The 12,698-nt window shown below is 37.3% G+C and overlaps 1 long non-coding RNA gene across 1 annotated transcript in view; it reads right to left on the bottom strand.

The window, feature by feature from the left end:
- Positions 1-8,801, bottom strand: part of LOC105374224 (uncharacterized) — a 53,972-nt gene extending 45,171 nt beyond the window's left edge. Inside the window, exons 1-3 of the long non-coding RNA XR_007096171.1 lie at positions 8,434-8,801; positions 3,621-4,513; positions 1,704-2,169 (exon numbers count right to left, since the gene is read on the bottom strand). This is a non-coding gene — a long non-coding RNA (uncharacterized LOC105374224). The remainder of the gene's footprint in view (positions 1-1,703; positions 2,170-3,620; positions 4,514-8,433) is intronic.
- Between the last annotated feature and the right edge of the window lie 3,897 nt (positions 8,802-12,698).

Raw genomic sequence — 12,698 nt, 5'->3', positions numbered from 1 at the left:
TTGGATGGATGGAACAGTGTGTGGAGACCCATACTGTGCACTTTTGCTCCAGGAACCACTGCAGGAGCATACCAGGAAAACTAATAATTCACAGATTCTTTAAATAAAAAAGCACCAAGCCACTGCAAATCCCATGAGACAAGCAAAAAACTGCGAGTTCCCAAAGTGCGAGAGGGGGAAATCCTGCCTCTGAACACATGTCCCCCCTGGAAACCCAAAAATCCAGATTACAGGAGAAGGATTTAACCTTACCCAGAGCTGAAATGAATTTAGAATAAAATATAAAACTAGAAGCAGCAGTGGAAGAAGCCTTGTAGGCACAGCCATTCTCCAGCTCAAGCCCAGGGAAGCCATCCCTGACTAAGTCTCATGGGGACACTCGGAAAAGGCAACTGGTGCAGTTTGGGAGGGGTCACAAGGTGAAAGAAACTTCCAGCCGAACTTTGTAATAATTTTGACTGGGTAAAACTCTTTTGAGCGTAATTTGGGTGTGAATGGGAACTGCTCCAGAAAGAAGAGCAAGAGTAGTGACAGACAGTGTGGGCAGACAGGAAGGGGCATGGCCTGAAAGCCATGTTTGTTTTCTCAGCAGGAAAACTTATAGCCTGGGGCTAGGTTTTAGTCCTGCACACAGGCTGCCTGGATATAAACTCGGCTCTGTTAGTGGGGCATGGCAGGAGCAAGACCAGCCTCACCAACTGCATGGGAGCTGGGTGAGGCCCATTGCTACTGGCTTTTCCCCAATTCCCTGGGGACAGAGGCAGCCATAATCCCCTCTGCACTATTACCTTGGATCATTTACAAACTCAGATTTTCATTAGAGATTAAAAAAAGAAATCTTCTATCCTTTCTAAGCCAGTTATTTTGTATTATTGAGGCATCCAAATCACTATGCTTTTCTTTTGGCCAGTTCTTGGATGGGCCTGGAAGTTGGGAGAGAGGTGATGCAGAAGAAAGAAGTCTGGTACGAAAAAATTAATATGCATAACTGGTAAATGGAAGGCATTAAACCAGGTATCCAGGTATTGGACTTGAGATACTGTACACCAGAGATCCCAAAGAGGCTGGAGCGAGCTTTCAAGAACATTAGCAGAAAAAAAAGTTGTCATGGGAACAAAACAAAGAATGAGAGAAAGGTGGGACAGAGTGAAAACCATCAATAATATTAGAGTGCAAAGGGCTCATTTTAATCAATAATCAGTCACAAGGTATGTTGATGAGTTGGCCTGAGTTAAAAGCAGAGCAGACACCAAACATTTTTTATCTCATTATCTCCCTTATAAATGTTTTAGATTTTCAAACAGAAATTAATTTCCATTTCTGGTGTTATTTTGATTAACTTGCTCATAGAAAAGCAAGAAGAACAAAGATGATTTTATATAATTTTTAGAAATTACTTATAAATTTAATAAATCTTAAATTTATTTTTGTTTCTTTAAAATATTGTATAAGTAGCCCTTGCTTCACACAGTCGTGTGGCATCATAAAAATGATCATGCAAGCTGAAACTATGCAAACCATCTTATCAATGAGAAAAATTGCAATTGTCTGTGGCCTTTTAAAATCTTTATCAAAACATTGAAAACTCTTTTCCTATTGGTTATAAATGTATAGGGAAATAAAAAATAGTGAACCCAATGTGTATTTAATACACAGTAATTTAAAACATTAGAAACATGATTTCTTGTCTTGTAAAAACTTACCGAGAATAGTTCAAAACAGTGCTTGCCTTCCTCTCATTTATAATTCTTCGTATGAATCAAGCATCTTTGTTATGCCTTGGCAAATTGTCATATTCCTTTCCAACTTTGAATCAGCTTCCAAAATTTTATGCTTTGTGCTTTCCATGTCATGAAGCATCTCTAAGTGTGGCTTTAATGTGAAGTTGTTATTGCCAGTGTCAATTCTTCTGGAACATATTTATCCTTTAATCATGGCCACTTTCCCTATTATGTTGGTAAGTTCACCTCTTGCTTTGCTCCAGCTGTATATCTAGTGTTTCCAACGATGGCCTTATCAACATTTTCACATCAGCTATTTCTTCTATAACTCCATTTACATTATCCTCACATTTCAATATTTTCACTTTGGTTTCTTTGCTGCACATTCATCTTTGTTAGCCAATTTCCTCTTTATCCATTTCTATAAAATGCCACATGGTTTCATCAACTAGAGACAAATACAACAAAACACTTTGCTGTTTGTGAGTGAACCAAATAACAGTAGTGCAGTAACTATTAATCACCCAATTTTGGAAGAAGTGATGTGGTTGGTCATATATCATGATGAACATCATCTTTTATTTGCATTTTGATTTGTGAACTGAAGAGCTAGCAGCCAAGTTTGTACCTTATGCAATTACTTGCAGTTAATATACAATGATAATTGAAATTTTAACCATGTTTTTGAGGGACAGACACTATTTAACTAACTGGTAACTGTGATTTATGTATGCCTGAACAATGCAAAGTGCTACCTGTATTTGTTGTTCTCATTCTACAATATATGCATGCTACAAAATTTAAGAAATACAAAATGTGTATAATAAAAAGTAATTTCCTTCTACCTCAGTCTCTCAGCCACTCACCACTCAAATAATTTCTCCAAGTACATTTTCTGGAAGCATCCTTCACATAGGCAAACATACATATCTGTGTGTGTGTATAATAGCATAATATATACACATAATAGTATTTTTATTGTTCTAAACCTACCTTTTTATTACTTATCTTTGAAGTAATTCCACATAAGTACTTATCTTATTCTTATCTTTCATATAGTTGCATATAATAAATAGTTTATATGTTATCTTGAAGAGATAAATTATAATCTGACCAATTGCTTAATGATAAATATTTATATATTCTCCATTTTAAAATCAAAAAAAATTTTTTTTTGAGACAGTCTCACTCTGTCATCCAGGCTGGAGTGCAGTGGCATGATCTCGGCTCACTGCAAGCTCCACCTCCTGGGTTCATGCCATTCTCCTGCCTCAGCTTCCCAAGTAGCTGGGACTACAGGCACCCGCCACCATGCCCGGCTAATTTTTTGTATTTTTAGTAGAGACGGGGTTTCATCGTGTTAGCCAGGATGGTCTCGATCTCCTGACCTCGTGATCCACCTGCCTCGGCCTCCCAAAGTGCTGGGATTACAGGTGTAAGCCACCGCGCCCGGCCTAAAATCAAAATTTAACAATAATAGGCCAGGTATGGTGGTTCATGCCAGTAATTCTAGCACTTTGAGAGGCCAAGGCAAGAGGCTCTTGTGATGCCAGAAGATCAAGCCAAGACTGGGCGACATAGTGAGACCCTAACTCTACAAAAAATTTTAAAAATTACCTGGGTGTGGTAGTCCTAGCTACTCGGGAGGCTGAGGCAGGAGAATCCTAACCGATAGAATTGATAGGATGCCAAGGAATTATTGATTGGTAATAATCCACATTCAATATTCAATATTGAACATAAATACGTTTGATTAATATCCTAGTCTGAGATAGATAGATAGATAGATAGATAGATAGATAGATAGATAGATATGTAGATGACAGATAGATAGACAGATATTCAGATTAGCCCATAAATTATGGCAGTTGTCTTCCTCCCTAGGCTTCTTATACTCACATCATTGATGTTCTTTGCTCTTATTTCTCTGTAGTGAGCCTTCGTGCTTGATGTTAAATCCTCCTTGACTTTTGGGAATGGGAAGTCACCACCCTTGGTCAGCTGCCTGACACCTTTCTGTGACTGCAACATTATATGAGATCTTCCTCACCTCAGACAGTTTGGCTGATACCCTCCTTTTCTTCAATGCCACTCTCTCCCCATAAATCAGCAAGCAGCAGAAATGTGTGTGACAAAAAAATTATGTTTTCCCTAAAGCCCAACTGAACCAAATTTCTGTTGCATTTAATTGTCACTGTATTTTTTAAATCCAGAATCTCTTCTCTGTCTCAATCAGCTATCCCATCAAGCTGCCTGTCAACCTATCTTCAGTGGGATATTCATATTATTTCTCATGAAGATTTCTTTACATAAATATTTTCTTTCCTAATTTTGCACCACATTTTTCTCCTTACTTCTTTTTTAAACCCTGTTTCTTAAACTGAAAATCCCATTCTACTTTGGCACATTAAAAACAGTTCAACAGATGTTGCACCCATTCATGTATGTTTTCTCTTTTTACACAAGAATAGAGAATTGGCAGAGGAAGTGAATCTCTGTTGATCTGCACTTGATGCTGGTACCATCAATGCCTTCCTCAGAGTGCACCTTCCCATCTGCAAGCCTCACTGTAGGCCAGCAGCTAGGAAGATACTAAATTATTTTATTGCATGCCACTTTTATGCTCATTCTTTATCTGGTGAAACTGTACAATGACTGTTCTGTTCTTTTTCAGTGTAAATGTCTAAAAATATTGTCACTGGATTTATTGATATTGTGGAGTTTTTGTTGTTGTTTTGTTTGTCTTCTGTATTCTGCAGTGATTTCCCATCATGTCTGGGTATTTGATTTTCCTGAAAGAGAAAACAATCTCTGAAGAAAAATAATTCCTAGTTCAGAATTTTCCCACGTTAAACTTTTGCAAAAACTTGATAAGAGTTATGTATAATTTGGTCTATACTTAGTGTTTATATGATTATAGTAGAGACTTTTCCAACTTAAGAGTATGTATAAAGAGCAACTAAATATCTGCATAAACAAAAATTCAACTTAACAGATGTTTCATCAGCTTGTCACTAAACATACACATGATTACATGAATTATTTTACATCACTCAACACATTTATTCAGTTTCCACTCCTTGCCTAACACTTCAGTTAAGCACTTCAGGAATACAGAACTGTAAGATTCCTTTTTTTCAAGTGTCGAGCTTCTTAGTCAGTGTGACATAAATGAATATACTGTAACCAACTAGAGAATAGCATTTATTTTTGGTCATCTATATAAGGAGGATTTTCATTATAAGGAAGCAAAAACTGTAATTCAGTTGCCCAAAGCCTGTCATTTACCAATTTTAGGGCTAATGTGTCTTCCAATATGAAAACATGAAATGTAGTATAAAGTGCCAGTCTTCTTTGTCATTTTACTACAATACTTTCACATAATTAGTGCTCTATAAACACTGAATAAATGAAAAACTAATTGAATATATATTATGATTTAGATGTCATTGTACTAATGTTCTGTAAGAATTTACATAACTGTCATTCACAAAATCTGTTTTAAATGTATGAATTAAAGTTTTACTTTTATCTTTGTCTTGAGCCATCCAATTAAGAACAGTAAAATAGATCCCTAATTTAAATATTTTTTAGAATTAGTTGCATCATAATAAAAAGAGTAGCCTTATCTTATACCTAACTCAGTGACTTCAACTTAATAAAATGTGTCTTAAACTAGTTCTGAAAGTTCAATAAAAGTTATTCTTAGAAATACAAGGAAAGAGATTTTCTGGATCTCTTATGAACCCTCATTATTTACATGTGTAAATGTATGAAAGCTCCAATCCTTGGAGAATTTATCTATCCTAGCTAAAGCTAAGAATGTTGAGAGAAAAACAAAGGCACATTTTTTAAACTTTCAAACTATGAAATGTAATTCATTTGTATCATTAGAAGTCATTCATTCATTTGTGAGCCTTAAGTAACTTCAGAACTTATGATGCTAGTAATAATTATAAGAATGTAAAACCAAACTCTTTCTAGCAAAATACAGATAAATATTGAAAAGTGGACAAGATTCTATTTGTGTTCTGACAAAAAATAAGGCTAAGTGTGGCTTAGACTGCAAGGGAGAATTTCCAGGTTTCAGAGCTTTATAGAAATGAACCTCAAACACAAAAAGAAGTCCTGTTTTTAATGGAAGAAATTGTGCTGTTATTGCCATAGTGCCTGCATGGAGCTATTGAACAGGAACACTTTTTTTCATTCAAACAATGACTTCTAATTAAAACCTAATAAAATGTAAACCAGAACCTGAAATGTTTTTAAGCTGTGACTGGATGATTAGCTTCAGTGATGATGTTAAGAAGATTCCTAGATGGGTCAGGCATTAGACTTCTGGGATGATTTCCAAGGGCCTGTGGTAATTTGGTAGCCCCCCTCCCAACTTTTCATTAAAGTAATATCTTTATAACTTGAAAATATTTTAATTTGGACAATATCACTTAGTTTTTCAGTGAATGAATAGTCTGATCAGTCAGAAAAGTCAAGTACCTTCATACTTAGAAAATGCGTTCTTGGTTACAAATTGTACTCTTCATTCAGAAAATAGCCTTCAAATGTGTTCAGTTAAGATACATCCACAAACACCTGTCTACATTATTGAAAAGAAAACCCAAAGCACATGTTGCATCAGTAGTGGCATCTTCACACATTTGACAGTTCATTCATAATTTGGGAAATACCTATTTAAAAACTAGACCCCAAATTTTCAGCCCCCCGAGAAATTTTATTCTAGTTAGTATTGAAAGTCAAAAAAGATTTAAAAAACAAGTAAATAAATAACACAGCATGTTAAAACATGGCAGTGCTGTGGAAAACAAAATAGAGCTTGTTAAGAGGGCCAATATATTGTGGGGACTGAGTTGCATTCTAAATGGGAGATCAAAATAAATTTCATTGAAAGGATAACATTTAAATAAATACTTGAAGAGGAAAGACTTAACCATGTAAATATATTGGAGAGTATGTTCCAGATAAGAGGAAGACCCAACGCAAAGGACCTGAGGCAGAAGCCCACCTGGCATGTTCAAAGACCACAAGAAGGCCAGTGTTATTGGAACAAAGGGAGAAAAATAAATGATTGATCCTGAAATGTGGTGAATTCAGAGATGCAGCAAGAAACCAGGCTATGTGGAGTCTTCTAAGCCATTGAAAGTACCACTGGTTTTACTCTAAGACCAAAATGAAGCCATCATAAGGTTTTGAGAAAGGGGATGGCTTGATCTAACTTACTTTTTGTAATGGGTCTGGCTGGCCACGGTGTGTCGAACCAGTGCATTAAAATATCAATTAGTTGACATCAATAATAATTAAATTCAAAGGCTGATACCAAGCCCTAATTCTACTTGATCTCTTTACATCACTAATCACTTTTGAACATTGTCTGGGGACTGGAAAGACCCACGTGGCAAACTCAAACAGCATAGGCAATTGATGGGCATGCATTAAAGGAACTATTTACAAAGATGTGAACAAGGTTAAATGAAACTAAGAGTCAACCATGAAATCATCCAAAGTTAGAAATAGCAGGGAGCTGTTACAACCCCTGGGTCAGAAGGACAAGGTGAATGAATAGTGGTTGTCATAACTTAGGAGTAATTTCTGTAGCTATAGGAGAGGATACTACAAGAGTCATGTCTCTAAGTAGGGTGCTGGAGCAACGAGCATCACAGATCTTAAGTGCAGATTTGTTCCAATGCTGTTGATATGTTGCAAAATAATTTGAATATAACCAAATTTGATTTTTTCTTATGCACAAATTCACATATAGGAAATACTAGGTGAACAGACAAAATTGCAGAATTGAACCACACTTGGTAGGAATACACAAAACACACACATACATTCACCTCAAATATCTCCCAGCTACCTCAGTTCATTGAGTGTGTTATGATCCACATCCATTCACATCTGGTATTACAAATTTTCTTCCAATTTCAGATGATATTTTTTCTACCACTTCATAGTACCTCACAATCTGCAACCTTTCTAATACCCACAAGCATACTTCAGGTGCTCTTCAAGGTAAAGTACCATATTGATTGTCATATTTATGAGTATTCTTAAGCATTTAACAAGTACAAAACTGTTCTGCAGCTTTTATTAGGTTCCCATCTTTGTGTGTATGTGTGTCACTGACAAAGTTTTTGAATGTTGTGCCCCTAATACCATCTTCCCATAACTCTGTGGTTTTAATGGCATTATTTTACACACTGTGGTGATTTTTACGAATTCATATGTCCTGGTAGAGTGAAACTAACTGTAAATACCAAGTCCTCAATCACATTTCTCTTTCCAGTTTCTGCTGATGCCTCTTAGGTAATGCCCAAAACCAACAGGAAGCCAGAGGAAAGAATCCCACTCTTGTACTCCATAAAGGGCAACCTCCTGGACATACTGCAAGGTGGAAAAGGGTGGAGAGCGGGTTTGAAAATGCAATGTGAAAGAATGCAGCACAGAAACCTTTTTTAGTTTAAAATCCTCTCCTTTGATTGCTAGCACCTAGCTACTCAAAATGTGGTCCAGGGATCAACAGCATTAGCATCTCCCGAGAGCATGTTAGAATAACAGACTGTTGGGCCTTTCCACAGAACTACTGAATCAAAGTTTGCCTTTCAAAAAAAATCCCTCAAGTGATTTGTATACACATTAAAGTTTAAGAAGCACTGTTCTCAAATCTTATTTTATTGTGTCTTCTCCTATCTCTTACCTCCTTGGCAACTGTCTTGCTGTATCTTTTCCTAATGCCTCTTTGTCTTCTTCCTCTACAAAAGTTTCAAAGTTGTGATAGACCACAACTGGCCTGTAACCTGAAGAAATTTCAATGGTGCGTGAACTTTGGTTTCAAAAAGATCATTCCCATCCTGGTAGCTAGCTCCAAAGATACTACACGAAGTAAAATAGCATCTGTTCCCAAGAAACCAGGTCAAAATCATTAGAGTTAAGCTTAACTAATTCATGCTGACTCAAACAGAAAATGCTGTGCCAATTTGCATGAAAAATAAAATAAAATGCTTGAGCCAATCATAATAACAAATGGATACTTGTTAATAAATATAGATTTATTTTACCTTTATAAAATAGTGAGGCCTCAGGAACTTAGTTGGCTACAAATTCTTGATTAGTTAAATTTAGTAAATAACTTAATCTTTATGCTTTACTTTCCACACCTGCCAACTGAAAGAACCGTAAACTTCACACTCCCTGTCCCCCATCAGTTCTCCCAGAATATTCTCCCAGTTACTATTCTCAAGTCCTTAGAATTGTCTTTGACTCAATTCGGTTATTGATCTCACTTTTGGAAGCCAAATAATCACTGAATCTTAACAACTCTTTTTTTTCTCAATGCCCCATATCTTTTTCATTTTTTCTATTCGCATTTCTAAATTTCTGGGTAATATCCTTATCACCACTTACCTTGGGATACACAAACAACCTCCTATGTCATCTTTCTAAATTTATTGTTTTCTTTCATCAGTTAGTTCTACCCCAACTTCCAGGAGATCATCACTGCCTCCAGAGTAAATTAAAATTTATGACTGTCCCCAGTCTAAAAGTTACAATTCCTGATAATTTGGTCCCAAACTAGCATTCCAAATTTGTATTGGAATCTGCATGATAGCCTTAGCAGCTCCATCTCCAGCCACAGATGAGGTGACAGTCTCTATAGTTGCATTCCTTACTATAAGTATATATAAACACATTGGAGAATCCCTAATTTCTGCCTATTGCATGCCCATCTAAATTCTGCTCTCCAAAGAGACCAGCCCAGAAAACCATGTCCAAAGTACATGGTTGGTCACTTCTGGGCCGGTCTCTTTGATTTTTATTAGTTTTTGCTCTTGGTGCTATTTTTTGAGACATCCCTTGATTCTGTGTTTCAGTCATAGGTCATATCTTTCTTCCTTCAGGGCTCAATCTGGGAAAACTTCAGCTCATGTCAGTGTACCTGGACCCTTTTTTTGGTTGAGAGATGGTTGTACAAATCTTATTTCTAGTTCATTCCAATTCTCTAGTTCTCTAACCAAAATAGTTTCTGGAACGTTTTATCCCCCCATGAAGTAAATATGCTCTCCTTTTATCTCCAAATGTACAAATTGTATCCATTCTTCAAGAACCAGCTAGAATCCACTTTCTGCATAGGGATTCAATTCCACACCACTTCTGCCACACCAGTCAACCCTCCTTTCTTCACTTCCAGGTATTTTTGTTTTCTGTATTAGTCTTTATTTTCAGTTAAGATTCCTATGGTTTAGTGATATTGGGCACACTTCTTCTGATTGCTTAACTCATGTTTATGCCTTACCTCCCTAACAGGGCCAGGAACAAAGTCTAATTTCCTTCACGTGCCTTAGAAGTTTTTCTTGTACTCTATAATATTTGTTTATTGAAGTCATAACAAATACTCTCTTTTTTTAATGGAAGAAGAGGCTTTTTCTTAATGGAAAACATTTGGTAGGTTCTGGACACTGTGAAGGTGTATGCAAGTACTACAAATGCTATCCACATGCTGACAGATTAACAATGCTTTTAAAAGTCACCATTAAGGATGCAATTCAAGTCTACTTACCGTTAAGTTTCAATCCCCCACCAATTTCCTTTTCCAGTGGCCATTCTGTTCTCAATTACATTGTCTCTATAATACTATTTAACTTTAACCATTAGAGAACAGGTTAAAATGGATCCATAACTAAATTGATCTCAAAAAGCTATTAATGCTGATGTTTATTACAATGCTTTCTATGTTAATATATATTAAATGTGTTCATCGCCTGTCTGAAACATTATTCCACTGTATTAAACATACATGTAGACACATGTATATCTTACATGCATAAATATTTAATTTTATATACATGTGTAAATAGAAAGCTATTTGCTTCTAATATGTTGTGGTAAGTTTATATGTAAGAAAAGTTACAAAAGAGCTTCCAATATTAATAAACTTAGAATGGTCAGTAAATTTAAGTGAGTGGTCAAATAGGACAGCAAGGGAAAGCCATTGCTATATTCCCAAGTACTCACAGTTTAGAAGGCTGGATATGTAGAGAGACTATAGTGTATGGCACCTCCCCACTCCCTCTCTCTCTTGCTCCCATTTTCACCATGTGACAAATCTCCTCACCTTCACCTTCTTCCATGATTGTAAGCTTCCTGAGGCCTCCCTAGAAGTCAAGCAAATGTCAACACCCTGCTTCCTGTAAAGCCTGCAGACCTGTGAGCCAATTAAACTTCTTTTCTGTAGACACCACCCAGTCTCATATATTTCTTTACAGCAATGGAAGAATGGCAGAAATTTGGTACTGAAGAGGGCATTGCTATAAAGATACCTGAGAATGTGAAAGCAGCTTTGGAACTGGGTAATGGGCAGGGCTTGGAAGAGTTCAGAGGGCTCGGAAGAAGACAGAAAAGTTTGGAACTTTTTAGAGACTGGTTAAATACTTGTGACTAAAATGCTGATAGTGATATGGACGGTGAAGTCCAGGCTACCAAGGTCTCAGATGGAAATGAGGAATTTATTGGGAACCAAAGCAAAGGTCACCAGTGGTATGCATTAGTAAAGCATTTGGCTGCATTCTGTTCATACTCTGGGGATCTGTGGAAGTTTTTGAACTTCAAAGTGATGATTTAGAGTATCTAGCAGAAGAAATTTCTTAGCAGCAAAGTGTTCAACATGTGGCTTGACTCCTTCTAACAGTTTATGCTCATATGTGGGAATAAAGAAATGACCTAAAGTTGGAAGTTATATTTAAAAGAGAAGCAGAGCATAAAAATTTGGAAAATATGCTGTTGGAAAATCTGCTATAAGAATTTGCAAAATTGTTAGGAGAGGAATTTAAGTAGGCTGCAGAGCAACCTATTGCTAGAGAAATTTGCATAATTGAAAAAGAGCCAAGTGCTCTTATCCAAGACAATGGGGAAAAGGCCTCAAAGGCATTTCAGAGATCTTCCCCTCAGCCACTCCCATCACAGGCCCAGAGGCTTAGGAAGAAAGAATGGTTTTGTTGAGCAGGCCCAGGGCCTCACTTCCCTGTGCAGCCTGGGACATTGCTTCCCATATCCTGGCTGCTCCAACTCCAGGGAGGGCTCGAATAGGCCCAAATACAGCTTCAACTGCTACTTTGGAGAATGCAAGACATAAGCCTTGGCAGCTTCCACATGGTGTTAAGCCTGCAGGTGCATAGAATGCAAGTGTTAAGGAGGTTTTGCCTCCACTTAGATTTCAGAGTATGTATGTAAAAGCCTGGGTGTCCAGGTAGAAGCCTGTTACAGGGGCAAAGCCCTCACAGAGAACCTCTACTAGGGCAGTGAGGAGGGGAAATATGGGGTCAGAGCCCCCACACGTTCTCACTGTGGTATTGCCTAGTGGAGCTGTGGAAAGGGGGCTGCCACCCTCCAGATCCCAGAATAGTAGATCTACCAGCAGCTTGCACCCCACACTTGGAAAAGCCACAGGTACTGAACAAACTATGAGAGCAGCCATAGGGGCTAAACCCTGCAATGCCACAGAAGCAGATTCCTAAAGCCTTGGGAGCCTACCCCTTGCATCAACGTGCCCTGGATATGGGACACAGAATCAAAGGAGATTATTTTGGAGCTTTAAGGTGTAATGACTCCCCTGTTGGGTTTAAAACTTACACAGGGCCTGTAGACCCTCTCTTTGGTCTGATTTCTCCCTTTTGGAATGGAAATGTTTATGCAGTGCCCATACCCCCATTGTATCTTGGAAGTAATTAACTTGTTTATTTTATAGGGTTATAAGTAGAAGGGACTTACCTTGTCTCAGATAAGACTTTGGACTTTGGACTTTTGAGTTAATGCTAAAATAAGACTTTGAGGGGACTATTGAGAAGGGATGATTGTATTTTGCAATGTGAGAAAGACATGAGATTTAGAGGATCCAGAGGTTGAATGATATAGTATGGATATTTATCCCTAGCCAAATCTCATGTTGAATTGTAATCCCCAATGCTG

This window comes from Homo sapiens, chromosome 3 (genome assembly GCF_000001405.40).
Source record: "Homo sapiens chromosome 3, GRCh38.p14 Primary Assembly".
Taxonomy (NCBI): Eukaryota; Metazoa; Chordata; class Mammalia; order Primates; family Hominidae; genus Homo; species Homo sapiens.
Note: the sequence above shows the minus strand (reverse complement) of the source record. Positions and strands in the feature narration are given on the sequence as shown.